The sequence below is a fragment of the Homo sapiens genome, chromosome 1 (genome assembly GCF_000001405.40).
Source record: "Homo sapiens chromosome 1, GRCh38.p14 Primary Assembly".
In the NCBI taxonomy this organism is placed as follows: domain Eukaryota; kingdom Metazoa; phylum Chordata; class Mammalia; order Primates; family Hominidae; genus Homo; species Homo sapiens.
In genome coordinates this window covers 26,020,701-26,036,468 of record NC_000001.11, presented here as the reverse complement: position 1 = coordinate 26,036,468, position 15,768 = coordinate 26,020,701, and the positions used below count along the sequence as shown (strand labels likewise).

At 55.6% G+C, this 15,768-nt stretch overlaps 1 protein-coding gene across 3 annotated transcripts, besides 9 other annotated features; it reads right to left on the bottom strand.

Annotated features, from left to right (window-relative positions):
* EXTL1 (exostosin like glycosyltransferase 1) lies at positions 5-14,694 on the bottom strand. Of its 3 annotated transcripts, NM_004455.3 has the most exons (11): positions 13,044-14,694; positions 7,183-7,276; positions 6,762-6,869; positions 5,874-5,993; positions 5,205-5,337; positions 4,903-5,009; positions 3,984-4,073; positions 3,154-3,240; positions 2,613-2,773; positions 1,465-1,633; positions 5-1,304 (listed from the first exon to the last, which is right to left on the bottom strand). In NM_004455.3, the coding sequence occupies exons 1-11, from the start codon at positions 13,820-13,822 to the stop codon at positions 1,122-1,124; spliced, it is 2,031 nt and encodes a 676-aa protein (NP_004446.2). In that variant the 5' UTR covers positions 13,823-14,694; the 3' UTR covers positions 5-1,121. The 3 variants fall into 3 exon arrangements, with proteins under 3 accessions (NP_004446.2, XP_005245836.1, XP_016856139.1); XM_005245779.5 differs by lacking the exon at positions 6,762-6,869; XM_017000650.3 differs by lacking the exons at positions 5-1,304; positions 1,465-1,633; positions 2,613-2,773; positions 3,154-3,240 and adding an exon at positions 3,255-3,792.
* Positions 156-255: an enhancer, noted in NCBI's record as "active region_478". NCBI's record gives its function as "activates an Ori minimal core promoter by ATAC-STARR-seq in GM12878 lymphoblastoid cells {active_cell/tissue: GM12878}" and the evidence as "EXISTENCE:reporter gene assay evidence [ECO:0000049][PMID:35858748]".
* Positions 536-675: an enhancer, noted in NCBI's record as "active region_477". NCBI's record gives its function as "activates an Ori minimal core promoter by ATAC-STARR-seq in GM12878 lymphoblastoid cells {active_cell/tissue: GM12878}" and the evidence as "EXISTENCE:reporter gene assay evidence [ECO:0000049][PMID:35858748]".
* Positions 686-775: an enhancer, noted in NCBI's record as "active region_476". NCBI's record gives its function as "activates an Ori minimal core promoter by ATAC-STARR-seq in GM12878 lymphoblastoid cells {active_cell/tissue: GM12878}" and the evidence as "EXISTENCE:reporter gene assay evidence [ECO:0000049][PMID:35858748]".
* Positions 786-855: an enhancer, noted in NCBI's record as "active region_475". NCBI's record gives its function as "activates an Ori minimal core promoter by ATAC-STARR-seq in GM12878 lymphoblastoid cells {active_cell/tissue: GM12878}" and the evidence as "EXISTENCE:reporter gene assay evidence [ECO:0000049][PMID:35858748]".
* Positions 888-1,051: a silencer, noted in NCBI's record as "fragment chr1:26361909-26362072 (GRCh37/hg19 assembly coordinates)". NCBI's record gives its function as "represses an EF-1alpha promoter that drives an FKBP-Casp9 reporter gene in an ReSE screen in phorbol 12-myristate 13-acetate-treated (for megakaryocytic differentiation) K562 erythroleukemia cells {active_cell/tissue: K562(+PMA)}" and the evidence as "EXISTENCE:reporter gene assay evidence [ECO:0000049][PMID:32094911]".
* Positions 888-1,295: a biological region, named in NCBI's record as "ReSE screen-validated silencer GRCh37_chr1:26361909-26362072".
* Positions 996-1,295: a silencer, noted in NCBI's record as "silent region_470". NCBI's record gives its function as "represses an Ori minimal core promoter by ATAC-STARR-seq in GM12878 lymphoblastoid cells {active_cell/tissue: GM12878}" and the evidence as "EXISTENCE:reporter gene assay evidence [ECO:0000049][PMID:35858748]".
* Positions 1,354-2,084: an enhancer, noted in NCBI's record as "H3K4me1 hESC enhancer chr1:26360876-26361606 (GRCh37/hg19 assembly coordinates)". NCBI's record gives its function as "activates a minimal SCP1, AML or CMV promoter by ChIP-STARR-seq in naive H9 embryonic stem cells {active_cell/tissue: H9 hESC(naive)}" and the evidence as "EXISTENCE:reporter gene assay evidence [ECO:0000049][PMID:30033119]".
* Positions 6,558-7,423: an enhancer, noted in NCBI's record as "H3K4me1 hESC enhancer chr1:26355537-26356402 (GRCh37/hg19 assembly coordinates)". NCBI's record gives its function as "activates a minimal SCP1, AML or CMV promoter by ChIP-STARR-seq in primed H9 embryonic stem cells {active_cell/tissue: H9 hESC(primed)}" and the evidence as "EXISTENCE:reporter gene assay evidence [ECO:0000049][PMID:30033119]".
* Positions 14,695-15,768: the final 1,074 nt, after the last annotated feature.

Sequence of the window (15,768 nt, the reverse complement as noted above, 5' to 3'; positions counted from 1 at the left end):
GGTATTTATAGCCTGGAGCGTGAGGGGGCAAGGACACGCGCTTTATTTCGGAAGTGATAATTCCAGCTCCAGGTGGGTGAACCCCGGAGGACCTAGTGTCCCCCCCCAACTCCATTCTCACCTATACCGCTCGGGACAGTCCCTGCTCGCGCCCAGCCCACCTAGAAACAGTCCCTTCTTGCTGAGTTCCAAGTGTGCAGGCGAAAGAGATGGGGCTGTTCTTCAGATTTCTCTTCCCAGCTTTCAGCCCCCGAGCTGCCCACAGCGCTCACCCTCCACATCCCGGCCGCCCTCTGGACATGCGGGTGAAGAGTGCGGCGCGACGCTGACCTCTAGTGGTCGGCCTTGGTAGTGCAGGGCAGACGGCCGAGGCTGAGCCGCGGGCCGTGCGGGGACAGGCCACTTGTTCCCATCCCGCTTTCCTCGCCCCACTCCTCGTTTACCCGCACCCCTCTGCTCCTTGGTTGAGGCTCAAGGATTGAGCCTGACAACCCAGGCGTCTTTGGGTAGTTGCCTTCCCGGGACTAGGAACCCTAGGAATGGGTGGCGGGGTGGGGCGGGGACAGTTCTGTCTCTCCGCTCACCCTGTCCCGCCGCCGCCCTCATAGGGCCAGGCACGCAGTTAATGTCTGCCATCCATCTATTCGTCAAATATTTGCGGCACACCTGCCTAGCCAGAGAGAAAAGGACACGACACGACCCGCCCCCCGGGGCTCGCAAGCCAGTCCTGGGGCCTGACCGTGCGGGAACCGCGGCAAACACTGGACTGCGAAAGCGCAAAGGAGACCGAACCCATTGGGGGCGGAGGGGGAGGAGGGCCAGGCAAGTCCCTGGAGGAGACAATGCTCTGAAAGACGAGCAGAAGTTAGCTGGGTGGAGAAGCGGAGAGCGGCGCTCCGGTCGCGGGGCTCAGCCTCCGCAGAGGCTCCGCGGCTGAGGGCGAGCAGGAGAAGGTAAGGCCACGCCCCCCTGTTGTGATTGGCCAACCGGGGTCCGACGTGTGGGCCCGCTGGCTGACATGATAGGTTCTCCGGTGTCCCAAGAGCGGAGCCCGCCGGCAGGCGCCGGGCCCCCTGGGAGCTGGGCTGCGACCTCTGCTGGGGTCTCCGCGGGTCGCCCCCCTAGGGCTTCTCCAGGCTGCGGTACTTCTTGCGCTGCACGGACACCGGGTCCTTAAACAGCACCGGGTCCAGACGCAGACGAGAGGACAGCAAGGGCATGTGGCCGAACGCTGCCGCTATCTGGTTGATGCAGTCGGGGGCTGGGGCAGGCGGCTTTGGCCTGGGCCCCGGGCCCCCAGGCGCCTAAGAGGGAAAGAAGCAATGCATTAACGGGCTTCTCTGCCCTTCCGAACTCCCCACGCCCGTGCAGCAAGAAAGACTGGAATTAGACAGTGAGAGGGAATCCTCTCCGGCATCCCCGCCCAATCCCTGCCAGTTCCGACCAATCCCCCTCAGCCCTCACCAGTGGAGCAGCCTCCTGGCGCTGCTTGCCATAGGGCACCTTGATAGGGGGCAGCTTGGTGACTGCTGCTACTATGAAATTCATCAGGACGTCCACACAGGTGGGTGCCTCATCTGCCAGGGTCCTCAGAGCCTTGGGCAGGGAGTGGGTGAAGAGAGTGTGGTAATACCTGGGCAAGAGGAAAAGACAGGGAGAGGCTGCAGCCAAATCCATCCCCAGGCCCCATTCTCCTCCCTCCTGACCTCACCTCTCCCTTTGACCCCCATCCCCAAGCCTCTGAGCCCTGGCTGCCTCAGAGAGCTCCCATCCCTGGCGTGAACAGCTCTCCATTGTGCTGTGCCCCGTGGCTTATCTGCAGTTAGTGGTGTGTTCCCTGCCCTCTCCCTCACAGCTCCTTGGGCCCCCCATCCTTGGGCTCTGAGCGCTGAACTCAGAGCCAGAATTAGATGGGTTTGGATCAGCTGGTTTCAAAGCCATCAAACATGGAAGCCCAAAGAACAGTTGTGGATGAACCAGGCTGATACCGCTCCGGGTGAGCTCACTTCACACGGCCCTCAGACAGGCCAGCCTCATCTCGCAGACATTAGGTAATTCTTCACTCTACTGAGAATTCCCTGCAGAGCTCCTGAGTAATCTATAAGAGGTTCCACGTTATGCATATTTGATTTAAACATGTTTAAGGAACCCCTCTAAAGAGGTCTTACAGAATTCAGTCTCTGCCCTAAGACCGGAGCACTTCAGGCAGCTTCTGGAAGGTCTGGGATGTTCCCCAACTCATAACATCCACATTCATAAAGCATCAGGACTATTTTCTTGTCACCCCACCACCAGCAAACCCACACACTGCCCTTACTCACTGCATGGCTCTACTTCAAATAACAATAGCTACCATTTGTGGAACCTCTGTGCCAGGGACTTCATTTAATGTTCACACCAGCCCTGGGAGGTGAATCCATCCCATTTTACAGATGAGAAAACAAACTCTAGAGAAGTGAGGAGATTTGCCCAGGATCCCACAGCTGGGAAGTGGCAGATCTCGGCCTTGAACCTGGATCCCTGGGGTCTAGGCCACTCTGCTCCGTTCGGGGTGGGGGTGGGGTCTCTGGTCCTCTGATACTCTGATCCCTGTGCAGGGTAGGGGTCTGTACCTATGGTAGAAGGCGGCTGTGGTGAGAACCATGGAGAATTCGTTGGTCCTCTCAGCAGTGTAGCCCCAGCCACCATGGGCCTCGTCCCAGAAATGGCTCGACGTCAGGAAGCCCACCATCCGCTCTGGGAAGCTCTGCCACACCAGAAAGGCAAAGTCCACCTGGGGAGGGACTCAAGTGAGCTGTGAGGAAGGACCTCCTAAATGCCTAGAACATCCAGGGAAATGGAGGCAGGGGCAGCCTGGCTGAGGGGCCCGGGCAGGACTCAGGGGAGAGGGCGCGGGAGCCAAGACTTGGAATTGGCTGGAAGTGTGGCATGAAAGCTTCCAGGGGCCACAAAAACAATTTCTCAAAAGAGTCCATGGAAAGCCTCAACGAGACTCCTAAAGAGGAGGCTGCCTGGCTTGCTGGGGTGGTTTCAAATGCAAGAGGCTGGACCTCATGACCTGGGGTCCCCTCAACCCTGGGAACCTGAGGGGCTGCCAGGGCCCTCTGGCTCTGTGTCTACCCACACTGGGCTTCTCTTGGGCCCAGCCCTCACCTCACTTGTGGAAAGACTGCTGCGGGCATCGAGGCTGAGGATGGCATCTGTTCTGATGGTGCTATATGGGTAGAAGCGATCACTAACCTGCAGGGAGTGGGGGAGGGGAACTCAGCCATTGGAACATTCCCCCCACCCCCATCCAATAAGTAGGAGCCATTCAGGCACAGTGTAGACGCCTGAGCCATGAATAAAGCCTCCCTTCAGGCACAGTGTAGACGCCTGGGCCTCAAATATGGCAAGCCTGTGCAGAGCTCGTTTTGGGACCTGGGCAACTCATTTGACCTCTTTGGATCTCAGTTTCCCCTTTGGTCAAATGGGGCAGTTGGTCTCTAGGGGCCCTTCCACTTTTGACATCTTGGAATTCCTCCATTGTCATATTGTCACATCAACTCTGGGAGGAGTTGTCAAACTTCCCTCATTTGAAAGAAACAGATCTAGAGAGACGAAGGGACTTGCCCACAACCATGCGGCAGGCAGGTGGTTCACACCAACCACGGTTCCCAGAAGCCTCCCCTTCCTGGCCCCGTGTGCTGCCCTTGGTCCGTATTTTCTCAAGAACCTGGGTTTCTCCTCTGTTCCTCTTCTGAGATGTCAGCGCTCTCCTCTGTCTTTCCCCATCATGTAAGCCCCAGTGCTCTGGAAGCACAGCTCACAGGGACCAGGGAGGGAAAAGAATCATTACTATTAGCCCTGTGGCTGAAACCTACTGTGTCATTCTTCAGGCCCAACTGCGGCTCAGGCCCAAGTATTCATAAAACACCCCATGGGTGCCCTCCCCCAGCTCCCAGCATGGGCCCACCCCTTTCATGGCTCTCCTCATCCCTTACCTTCCTGTGCCCATCAATGACTGTCAAGGGCACAGCTGTCTCCGGCCACCTGGATGGGAGTGGCCTCTCATTGCTCCAGAGAACCAAGATCTAGAGGATAGGGGGTTGTTCTTGAAGTCTGGGATCTGGGGCAGAAGGCGGGTTGCGAGGGGCAGGAGTGATCTTTCTCAAGGTGGAAGAAGTTTGAGAAGTCAGCTTTGTAAACTGCACATGGGAGAAGGGTTAGTTGGATCCATGGTCCTTTCACCGCTGCTCTGTCCTTGCCTCTGGGCTTGTAGAAGGCAGGGATTCTGGTGACATGAGGGTAGTGACCTGTGGCTTCAGAACTCAAGAGAGTTGTCTGTGGTAGTCCCTAGCCTGGGCCCTGACTCCATGCTCCATCCTCATCTTTTCTCGAAGCCTTCATTCTCTTCCTCAGGCTCTTTTATGACTCCCAGCCCAGCTCAATGGCCTGTTTGGAGCCTTCCTGTGTGCACCCTGGCTGAGCTAACTGCTTCACTTCCTCTACAAGGACTCTTATTAATCTATCTGGCTTCTCTAGAAGTAAGATTTGACAGTCTGTGTGCTGGAAAATGCTAACCCAGTCTGACTCTCTGGGCAGAATCCTTCCTTACTTTTTATCTGCTCAGCCTTAAGCCCAGGGCCTAGTGCTCAGAAAATGACTGCTGAGTAAAGGAATGAATGTTTCCTTCTCCAGCCTCCCCAAGAGACATCTGCTTTTCACGTGGCTTCATCAATTTCCATGGGGAAAAGGCAACAGAATCTTGGGACTTACAGGAGGCAGCAAGAACACTTGGAAATCTTCCCCGTGCCTCCCCTCAAATAGTGGTCATCTTTGGGGTCTGGAAGTCATCAGGGCCCTGCCCTGTCCCTTACCCCCACCCTGGATCCCAGGACTCCAGCTGGGAAGGGGGCAGACCTGGGCACAGTGCTGGGAGCCTGCCACCGCCTGGATGAGCTTCAGAGGGGGCTGGCCTGGGGGCCCCACCCAGATCAGGGCGCTGAATCTGCCCTCAGGGCGGGAGCCTGGGGGAATGAGACACAGGCTATTAGAGTGGGAGGGAACAGAACCCCATGAAGAATGACCTGAGTAGGGAATCCCCGGGGGCCAGGAAAAATGTTAGGGCTTGGAAAGGGTCTTGGTGGGGCTCTCCAGATGAGGCTGGGGCAGCCCTGGGTAGAGCTGAGGGGACTTCAGGTTGTCCCATCCCCAGGGCATACCCTGTTGCAGGTAGTAGAAGGGGAAGTCCTGGGGGCTTGTGGAAAAAGTAGACAGGGCCAGGAGTGCCCCTGGGGGGCTGTTCCACAGCAGTGAGGGGTGAGCTGATGTTCCAAAAATCCGGTCCTGAATAACCTAAAATGAGAGAGAAGCTGAGCAGAGCGAGTGGCCTGTGTGACCATGGCCACACCTCCCCTTCCAGGCTCTGGGGAGGGTGGCAGCTGCATCACCAGACCCCTGGGGTCAGAAGCTGAGTCTAGAGTAGGGGGCACTCCATGATGTTGCTCCAGAGGTGGGAGATGGTGGCAGGGTCACTGCTTCCCCTTCCTTCCTCACTCATGACAGATGTCACTAATGGGTCATGACATTCTTTCAGGACTCAGAATCCCTCCCAACATAGCATCCCAGGCAGCCATCGGCGGTCAACTGGCATTGGTGCATGCTTTGACATCTATTTGCCACAGCGGTCTTCTCTAAAGATGGGGAAACTGAGGCCAAGATTGGAGAAGAAACTTGCCCCAAATCTCACAGCCAAGTCTCAGATTCATCCCAGGACCATCTTCAAGGAAGGGGGGGGGGTTCCCCAAACACTGTGGCAGAGAAGTATGGAGAGGTGACAGGGATGAAGCAGGAGTCAAGAGCCAGGACCCCCATCAGGTGAGACCCCTCACCTCCAGAGTGGTATGGATGACCTTCTCCACTGAGGAGAAGTAGGCATCCCATAGAAACTGGGTCTGCTGACGCAGGGCGAGGACCCGTGCAGGGGACATCTCCTGGAGGGCAGCCAGGACCTGGAGCAGAGAGGGAGAAAAGTGCCAGGTAATAGAGCAATTTTGAGCCCAGGAGGTCGACGCTGCAGTGAGCCATATTCGTGCCACTGCACTCCAGCCTGAGCAACAGAGCAAGATCCTATCTCAAAAAAAAAAAAAAAAAAAAGAAGCATTCAGGGGTCACACAGAGTTGGGTCTGAATGCCACTTGGTAACCACGTGACTGTGGTTGAGCTATTTAACCTGAGTATTTGCTCATTAATTGCTTAGTACATTGTAGAGGCTCAATTAAAAAAATGGTAATTACTATTAACCCCCTCTGCCATTCTCAGGGGATTCAAGGCAGGTCACACATATATTTTTCAGAGCTGGACAAAATTAGTTTCATCAGATGGAAAAGTCGCCATGCGTTTTGCTTTCCCACTCCAGTCCCCATGGAGGCGCTCTGAGTTTGAATTTTTTTGTAGCCTTCCCCTAAATTGGTATTTAAGCAGTCACAGGCCATTGGAGCTGGGCCCATGGGGATTGTCTGGTCTAGCTCATCCTATTGTAGAGATGATAAAACTGAGGCTGGAAGAGGATCAGGACTTGCTCTCAGAACCCTTAGGAATCTCTAGCTCCATCAGATCCTCTGGGAGCCCCAGAGGGGAGACTTGGTGCTAGGAGAAATTCACCAGTATCCATAGAAGGCAGATAGGAATGAGGACTGAGGCCAGCCTCGATCCAGGATTCTAGGTCCCTCCCCTGTCCTGGGTCCAGTTCCCACCCTGTGGGCAGGGCTCTGAGCTACCTGAAGTGGGAGCCTCTCATCAGCTACGATGGCTGCCTTGGTCCAGTCGATGACCTCGGAGAAGGGCAGCTCCCAGCGGGGGCTGAGAAGCACTGGGATGCAGCCGGCCTGGGGGGCGGGGAGGTCACTGGGGAGCCCAGCCCCACCCTGCACATACTCACCCCCCGCCCAGTTCCAAGTCAGTAGCTGCTGCTGTTGGGGGCAAGGGGCAAAGAGGACAGGAACATGGGATTTTTCAGGGAGGGGAGGTTATGGTTGTTCTGCAGAGGGTGCAGTGAATGGGGACACAGGCATGCCTGAGTCCAGGAGTAAAGGAGCAGGCAGCTTACTGCCCCTTCTCATTGGCCTGGACCCAGAGTACCCTGCCAGCTCATGAGTGCTGGGGGACAGAGGATGGGTGATGCTCAAATTGGGGTTGTACCTGCAGGGCTTGGAGGAAGCGCGAGGCAGCCTCGGGACGGTGGCCAGAGATGAGGCAGAAGGTGGCATTGGGCAGCGTCTCCTGGCGCTGGGTCCTAAAGAGGCACATGGGGAGGTCCCACCACACATGAGCCTGGACAGTGACCTTCGCCCCCTGGGCTCCCTCAATGGGAGAACCCCACACCCCTGCACCCCACACCCACACTCCCAAATGTGTAAACCCACTCATGCATATGCACAGCCGCACACTGACGCACTAACACAAACACAAGCATCACACCAGCCACGCATCTGTGGTTGGACTAGGAGGCAGGAGCCCTGCATTCTAGCTCTGCCTCTGCCCTCAGTGGCCTTAGACACCTCCCTTGCCTTTCTCTGGCCTCAGTTTCCTCATCTGTAAAATGGGAGGCAGCGGACGCTGATGTTTCCGAGGCCCTGCCTGACTTAGACATGCACGTCTGCCCTCCCCCACTCGGCCACAGGCAGACTTTCAGCACCCCTTGCCTGCGTGGCCTCTGAGCCCAGCCCTCCCCGATGCTAAAAGCCAGGCCCGTGAAAGGCTCCTCTGTCATGAGGTGGGCTGGGCCCCCAGCCTGGAACCACACAGGAAACTGCTGCCCAGAGGTCCCCTGGCCCAGAGGACAGGCTCCCTCTGTTCCTCCCACCTACCCCCTCCACCACCCTAGCCCAGGGCCACACTCAGGCTGTGTGTGCCTGTGGGGGAGGGCAGGAGTCCCAGCCTCCTCAGAGCCAGCCTGGCAATTGTCCACCCAGGGGACCATTGCCTGCAACCCAGCCAGGGGAGGGATAAAGGGAGGGACCAGGACACAGGCCTGCTCAGTGTGGGACTCATGACTAGGGCCCAGAGGGTACTAGGACCCTCCTCAGTTACAGCCTGTTTGGCTCTGAGCCTGAACCTCCAAGAAGCAGACCTGGGAGTACTTAGGCAGCCTCGGGGCCATGCCCCATTGAACAGATGGGGAAACTGAGGCCCAGAGAGACCCAAGGACTGGCTCAGGGTCACAGATAGGGTTGAGTGGAGCTGGGACTAGAGCAGAGATTTGCCAGCTCCTGACCCTGAGTTATCTGAACCACCCCAGAGCTGCTGCTTTAGGGGTCTTCCAGGGGACCCCAGCCTTCTTTGTCCTCCCTCCATGCTTAAGTGTCCACCAGGCCCTCCTTGGAAGAAGCCACAAGTAAGCATCAGGACACCCTTCACCTCATGAAAAGCCACAGCAGAAGCCAACCAGGTACAGCCCCCTTCACCCTTAAGTCAACCTCTAATGAATTGAAAACCTCTAGGTTAAGGCTGAATCAACTGCACCACTGAGCCTTAACCTCCCTTGATCCTCTGTGCCTTTAAGATCCCTTCTCCCTCACGTTGGAGGGCCCCTCCCTGCCTTGTCAGCCTGAGGAAGTCCTCCTACTCATCTTTTTCTTCTGAGACAAGCTCTTGCTCTGTCACCCAGCCTGGAGTGCAGTGGTGCCATCACAGCTCACTGCAGCCTCAACTTCCCAGGATCAAGCAATTCTCCTGCCTCAGCCTCTGGAGTAGCTGGGACTACAGGCACGTGCTGGCTTTTTTTTTTTTTTTTTTTAGAGATGGGGTCTCTCTGTGTTGCCCAGGCTGTCTCAAACTCCTGGCCTCAAGTGATCCTCCTGCCTCAGTCTCCCAAAGTGTTGAGATTACAGACATGAGCCACCACACCTGGCCTTCTTCTACGCTGTCTTAATGTCTAAGCTGAAACATCACCTCCTCTGGGAAACCCTCCTTGATCTCTCCAGAGATGGCTTTCTCTACTCCCACCTCCCAGTGGACTGCAGTAGTAATGATCCAAGCTAACCTATATTGAGTATGTACTTTGATCCAGGTACTGTTCTAAGTGCTTTACAGGTATTAACTCAGTTCATTCTCACAGCACCTCTATGAGATAGGAGGGGAGGTATGCACTGTTATTATCTCATTTTACAGATGAGAAAACTGAAGCCCAAAGAGGTCACACAGCTCTTGAGTAGAGGAGCCAGGGAGGCAGCCGGTGCAGCCTCTCTCTGCTTAACAATGTGTGTCAAACAATTGACTTGCCTGTCTCTCTTACAAGGCTGAGCTCCTTGAGGATGGGGCTGTACCTCCCTCATCTCAGTATCCCTAGGGCCTAGCAGAGTGCTTGGTGGAGAATGGGAGCTCAGTGGGTGCTGCCGAATGCTCAGTGAGACACTAGGGAATAGATCTGGGACCAAGAGACCAGGTATCTGGGAGGTCAATTTCAGCAGAAATTCTAGTGATGGAGCTGGTTGAGCGTGCAGCCAGTGGGTGGTCTTTGGAGGTGGTGAGTTCCCCATCAGTAAAGGGAAATAAGTAGAGACTGGATGAGCACCTTTGGCGGGGAACAGGGAATGTGTTACAGAGGAAACTTGTGCATCTATGTGGTGACCACTGAAGAAGTCTTAGGCTTCTGTGACCATGTAAGGTACCTGCCATAGACTCAGGGCCTCAGTGCCCAAGGGTGGTCAGCGTGGCTGTGCCCATGGCCTCAGTGCTCTGCTGGGGCCTGGCCATAGGTAGGGCTGCATTGTGACTTCCATGTGCCCTACTAGGCACTTTGGCCTTCACAGTCTCTCCTGCCATAAAAAAAGAATATAGTTGATAACTGTGTTGGTATAAAAACAAGCAATATTATATATTAAAACATTTTCTGCTGGGCGCCGTGGCTCATGCCTGTAATCTCAGCACTTTGGGAGGCCGAGGCAGGCAGATCATTTGAAGTCAGGAGTTTGAGACCAGCCTGACCAACATGGTGAAACCCCATCTCTACTAAAAATACAAAAATTAGCTGGGTGTAGTGGTGCGTGCCTGTAATCCCAGCTACTTGGGAGGCTGAGGCAGGGGAATCGCTTGAACCCAGGAAGTGGAGGTCGCAGTGAGCCAAGATTGTGCCATTGCACTCCAGCCTGGGTGACAGAGAAAGACTTTGTCTCAAAAAAAAAAAAAATTTTTTTCTTCTACCTGAAAGTTCATTTTTAATTCTGCCTTTTTTTTTTTTTTTTGAAACAGAGTCTCTCTCACTCTGCTGCCCAGGCTGGAGTGCAGTGGCATGATCCCAGCTCACTCTAGCCTTGACACCCTGGGCTCAAGCGATCCTCTCACTTCAGCCTCCCAAGTAGCTGGGACTACAGGCTTGCACCACCACACCCAGCTAATGTTTGTAATTCTTGTAGAGACAGGGTCTCACCATGTTGCCTAAGCTCAGGCGATCCACCCGCCTCAGCCTCCCAAAGTGCTGGGATCACAGGTGTAAGCCACTATGCCCAGCCCTGATTTTCAAAAAATGAAAATATTTTCATGAGCCTATAAAAGTATCATGGGCCCTAGGTACTGACTGTGCCCCTTGTTCCCAATGGATACAGCCTGGGGGACTTTGAAGCATGCCTCAAATTTATGTTAAAAAATGGGGGAGAATATACATATTGCTTGTACACACGCAGAGTTTCTCAGAAAAGACACGTAAGAAACTGGAAGCAGTGTTTGGCTCCAGGCAGGAAAACCGGGTGGCCGAGAGACAGGGATAGAAGGGAGGCTTTTCACTCTATGCCCTTTTGTGCCTTTGGAATTCTGTACCATGTGAATGAATTACCTATTCATAAAAATGAATAAATAACAATTTGAATGGGTGGAGATTTATTCCAAAGCAACAAGAGACCGTTCAACCAAGGTGGAAAAACATGGGCTTTGGAGCCAGAAGTACAGGGTTGAATCCCAACTCCACTGCTTCCAAGCGCCTGATTAGAAAAGTGAGGGGCTCATGGAGAAGAGGGAACCTTGTCACCCTGGGCTATTCCACCTCTCTGGGCCTCAGTTTTCCATACCCTGAAATGGAGATAATAATACCTCCCTTGAAGGGTGCATGACAGGATCAGCAGTGACTTAAGTAAAGTGCCTGGCACAGCACCTGGCCCAAGCCAGGCACTCCTCAAATGTAGCCTCCTCCTCTCCCCACTCTCGCCCGGCTGAGTGAATGTGGGGAGGTGGCAGGGACTGTGAATGGCCTCTTTCTCTGGCCAGGACTTGTTTATTCAGGCTATCTCTCTCACTCTGTCCCTAGGCTGTCTGGCCCAGGCAGCTGCCCGGCACTTCGGAGAAACTGAGGCTCAAACCACTCCAGAGATGACAAGTCCTGTCACCTTCAGGGAGGCGGAGGCCAAAGACAAAACTTGAAGGTCAGAGTCCAAGGCTGCCAAGCTTCGCCCCTGGGAAATAAAACTTATCAAAAATGCTACTCAGAGGGTGACCCACGCTAATTAGAAAACCGTGGCCGGCTCTGGCCAATTTCAGATCCATTAGTAAACATTTAATGAGCACCTACCTGCTGTGTGCAGCTCCCTAACTTCCAGTTTCTCAAAGAAGTTCAGACTGAAATCACTTTCAGGTTCATCAATAATGAACTGTGCTTAGCGGTAACTAAAGTCAGCTGAAAAAAGAACTTCCTGCAAGCAAGAGTACCTGAGTGCCTCATCAGAAAAGTGAGGGAGGGCATGGCAAAGGGAGAGCCTTGTCGCTCAAAGTGAGCTTCTGCCTGAGCGCTGAGCTGCAGGGGCTTGGGGGAGATCCCTGACTTTTCAGGCTCCCACCTTGGAGACCACTAGGGATAGGTCCCAGCAAAAGGACCCTGGGGCTGACCGGGACAAGTCCATTCTTACTCCTGGCTGTGAGGGCTCCCTGGAGGCCTCCATGTACCTTCAGGAAGTGGAAGGATCCCATTCCCACGAGAGCCCTTTGGCCGAGAGAAGTCCCGGGAGCCCCAAGCAGAGGCAAGAATTCCTGGGAGGGAGTGGAGCTCAGAATAGTTGATGTTGTTGGAGCAGAGAATAGGGAGAGAGACCTGAGGGAGGAGCAAAAGGAGGATACCAGAGTGACAGTTCCCGACTCAGGTAGGCCCTGGGAGATGGTGGGATACAGAAGGAACCCTCTGCCACCGGGGCCCTGGACAACCTCAGAGGGACTCCCATTCTTGCCTGCCCAGCTAGCCTTTAGAGGCTGCTGGCCTGCTGGGGACACAGAGGGTTAGAGTGCTTAGGGGATAACTATCACCTGAGGCGCATCACCCCCAACTAGCCCAGGCGGAAAGAGTTTCTGTACAAGCTCACCACATCCCACAGGCCCCCAGTCCCTTATATATGTCAAGGGCCTCTCACTGGCAGGAAATTCTTTAGATCTGACCTGCGTCATATTTGCTATAACCAAAGGCTGTTTCTTTGAGAGGTTAATCCCCAAAATTAGACACGGGAGCAGCTTCCAGCTGTGACTGTGAGGCCCTTCTGAGGCATTTGATGAGGTTGATCATAAACTTTTACTTAAAACTCAGAATTCTCATACTGAAGGCTTTGGAGATAGGCAATTCTGGATCAAAATACTGGCTCTTTCCGGCTGGGTGGCCTGAGAAAAATTACTTAACCTGTCTGAGCTTTCGTGCCTGGTACACAAACACTTAAATGCTAACAACTAGCATATTTTATTATAATCATTATTTATATAAGTGCTTAGCACAGAGTAAGCACTATACAACTGTATGTGGGGAAAAAAAATATTAGGGTAGGAGGTTTGGAATGAGTCGTGTTTTATGTTTTGAAAGATCCCCAGGGGAGAATTCCAAAACCTACCTTAGACAACCCTTGCTTCAAGTCCCCATCTTAATGGAAGTGCTCTCTGCCATCTAACCTGGCTCCCTCCTGCTGCTGCAGCTGAGGCCTAAGTCTACCAGGACTACCTGGTTCTCCCATCTCAGTCCTGCCTTCTACCCTCGTTTTTGGGCTTGCGTCTATTCCAGCCCCCTCCCATCCAGCCCCCAAGGCAAAAGGTTCACTTACTGCCCAGGTCCAGGGTCTTGCTCACAGCGCCCATCCCAGGGGCAGGCAGAGGAGCCAGTGTCTGCTGTGCGCCACCCACCCCTCTCCTCTTCCAGGGCTAGCAGGGCTACCCCGGGCTGGGGGCTGTGTTGCCGCAGCTGGCCAGGAGCCCCACCTCGCAACGGGTGGGCTTCAGGGAGAAAAGGGAGGGCCACATCAAAGCCGGGCCGGAAGGAGTCCACCGTGGGGCTGGCCTCAGCCACCATAGCCTGTCCCAGCTGGAAGGTCCTGGGGCAGGGAGCCGGGTGGAGACGGAGGACCAGATGGTTCCTGCCCCTGTTCCATTGCAGAGGCATTGAGCTGCACTCTCCAGTCTGGGCGTCCAGGCTGAGGAGGAGGAGGAGGCAGGCCCCAGCAGGGCTGAATGTGTAGAAGCGAGAGCCCTCAATGGAAGCCAGGATCCTGCGATGAGTCTCAGAGATGGTTCCAACCGCTGGGTACACGAATACCTTAAGGCCATCGCCCCTGCACTTTGAGGTATCAAAGCAAGATTCCCAGTTGCAGCTGCCACCATGAGGGGCTTGAGGAGGTGAAACGGCATCTTCTGGGAGCTCTCCAGGCTGGGAGAAGCTCTGCAGGAGCTCTGCATCCAGCCAGCGGGGCCAGCCTTGGGAAGCCCCGGGCCGAGGTCTGGGAGGCAATGCCAGGCGGAGAAGGGAGAAGCCTCCCAGCAGGACAAGCAGGAGCCAGGAGGCTGACAGTGCCAGCCACAGGGACTTTCTTCTCCTCCACGACTGCATGTGGCCACCCACAGTCAGGGCTAGGGAAGCTGGGAGGCCTCTGCCAGCAAGCAGGAAGAGCAGGGCCTGGGGCGGGAGACCAGAGCTGGGACCGACCTGCTAGTCCTGTGCTGTCATTGTACAGATGGGAAGACTGAGGCCCATCGAGACCAGGCCGCCTGTCTAAGGTCAGATAGTGAGTCACCAGCCAGGCAGGAGGAGGCCAGGTGGGACCCAGCTTGCTGGCCTGGCCCCCCTGCTCTCAGGACTCTGCCTTCTCGGCCTTTGGACAACCAAGCCAGCCTTTTCCCTCCCAGCAGGGACCCCTGCCCCTGGGCACTGCTCTGGCTGACGCAACCCCTGTCCAGAATGCAGGGCCGTGTCCCCCTGCCCTCCTGGCTGCACCCCTTGACCTTGCCCTCAACTGAGAGGAGGGCTGTCTGCCAGGCCATGGGGACCAGTCAGAGCTCCCACAGGAGGCGGCTTGGCCAGGGACAGGCTGGAGGGAGCTGGGCTGGTCTTCCCACTCCTCCCCTTGCCTGAGCAGCCCTGGCTGCCCCTGTGCCCGCTGGCAGACGCTTCTGGGCTGTGGCCCCTGTGGCTGGAGCTAAAATTAGACCCTGCATCCCATGTGGATCATCGGCGTCAGCTGAGGTCACAGCCTGGGTGCAGCCGGTGTCCCCCTGCCTTGGAGGGCCAGGAGGGCTCGGGGTCCTGATCCTTATCCACTCTGCCGCTGCACCAGCTCAGGAAGTGCAGCCCCTCTTCCCCGCAGCCCAGCAGCTGCCTTGCACCATCTGGCTTGGAGCTATCACAGTGCAGAGGCCAGGGCCGCTGTGCCAAGCCCCCCAAACCCTATGGTATCTCCTCCCATCCCTCTCCAGTCGGCAACTGGCCCATCCTGATCTCTTTCCTTAGCAGCAGCCTGGCTCCTCCCCTCCCAGCCCTGATTCGCTCCTGGCTGGGAGGCAGGGTCTCCATTTAACCCCTTCCAAACCAGTTTCCTCAATTGCTAATCCAACCAGCAAGTACTGCAACTCACAGCTGGCCATGAGTTATCACAGCCTCTGTCTCTCAGTCCTCCAGCCACCCTCCAAGGCAGAGATTTACCTGTCATTTCTTACAGATGAGGAAAGCTCAGAGAGGGGATGAACTCTTCCTAAGGTGACCCAGCTAAGAAGTGGCAGGGTGGGGATTTCAATCCTGAGCTCCTGGTCGTTGGTCACCCCAGCTGTGGGCCCTGTGGCTGGAGAAAAACTAGACCCTGCACCTGCTGTGGGCCATCAGAGTCAGTGGAGGTCAGAGCCTGAGTGTGAGGAATCTCTGAATCGGCACATGAGAAGGTCAACAGGTGAGACAAGTGAGGAGTTAAGGGGCGGGGGTGGAGGAATTGGGTAAGGTGCCCCCAACTGTCCCCAGGATTGGTCTCTCCTCCTTCAGCAGCCCCACCCCCAATCTCCTCCAATTCCCAGCCTTTTGCTCCAGTCCTTATGGAAAGTTCTTCCTGCACTTGACTCTTCCATAGTCCAGGCCCCATGGAGGGATTTCCCCGGTCAGTGCCCTGTGAGGGGAGTCAGGAGTGGGTGATGTCAGCCACTGAGGAATCTCTGGGGTGACGGGGGAGACACACTCTGGCCATGAGGAGTTCTGGGCTGATGAGGGAAGGCACAGGGAGTGGACAGACTTGAGTGGGTTCTGCCTCTTCCCCTGACTGCCTCGGGGGTGTTGGGCCTCTGTCCCCTTATCTCTGGGATGGGCATAATGTCAGCCAGGAATGGGTTGCCAGGTTGACGCAGGCCTGTCCCCTGAGGTCCCTCAACAAGTGGTGGCCTCCTTTCCCCTGCGTGCCTCCCCTTGATCTTGGAGGGCTGCTGATCAGACCAGGGAGCCACCGTGGGATGTTTTGCCCTCAGTGAGCAGCCAGTGTGAGAGTCCTAAAAATGGCCCACAAAGGGGACACTTGCCTC

Excerpts from the sequence above, each read along its gene's own strand:
- EXTL1 (NM_004455.3), bottom strand. The coding sequence starts at position 13,822 with ATGCAGTCGTGGAGGAGAAGAAAGTCCCTGTGGCTGGCACTGTCAGCC. Across the intron at positions 2,774-3,153 it reads GCAGTCTTTCCACAAGTGAG|GTGGACTTTGCCTTTCTGGT; the intron begins GTGAGGGCTGGG and ends GTCCCTCCCCAG. Across the intron at positions 1,634-2,612 it reads ACAGCCGCCTTCTACCATAG|GTATTACCACACTCTCTTCA; the intron begins GTACAGACCCCT and ends CCTCTTGCCCAG.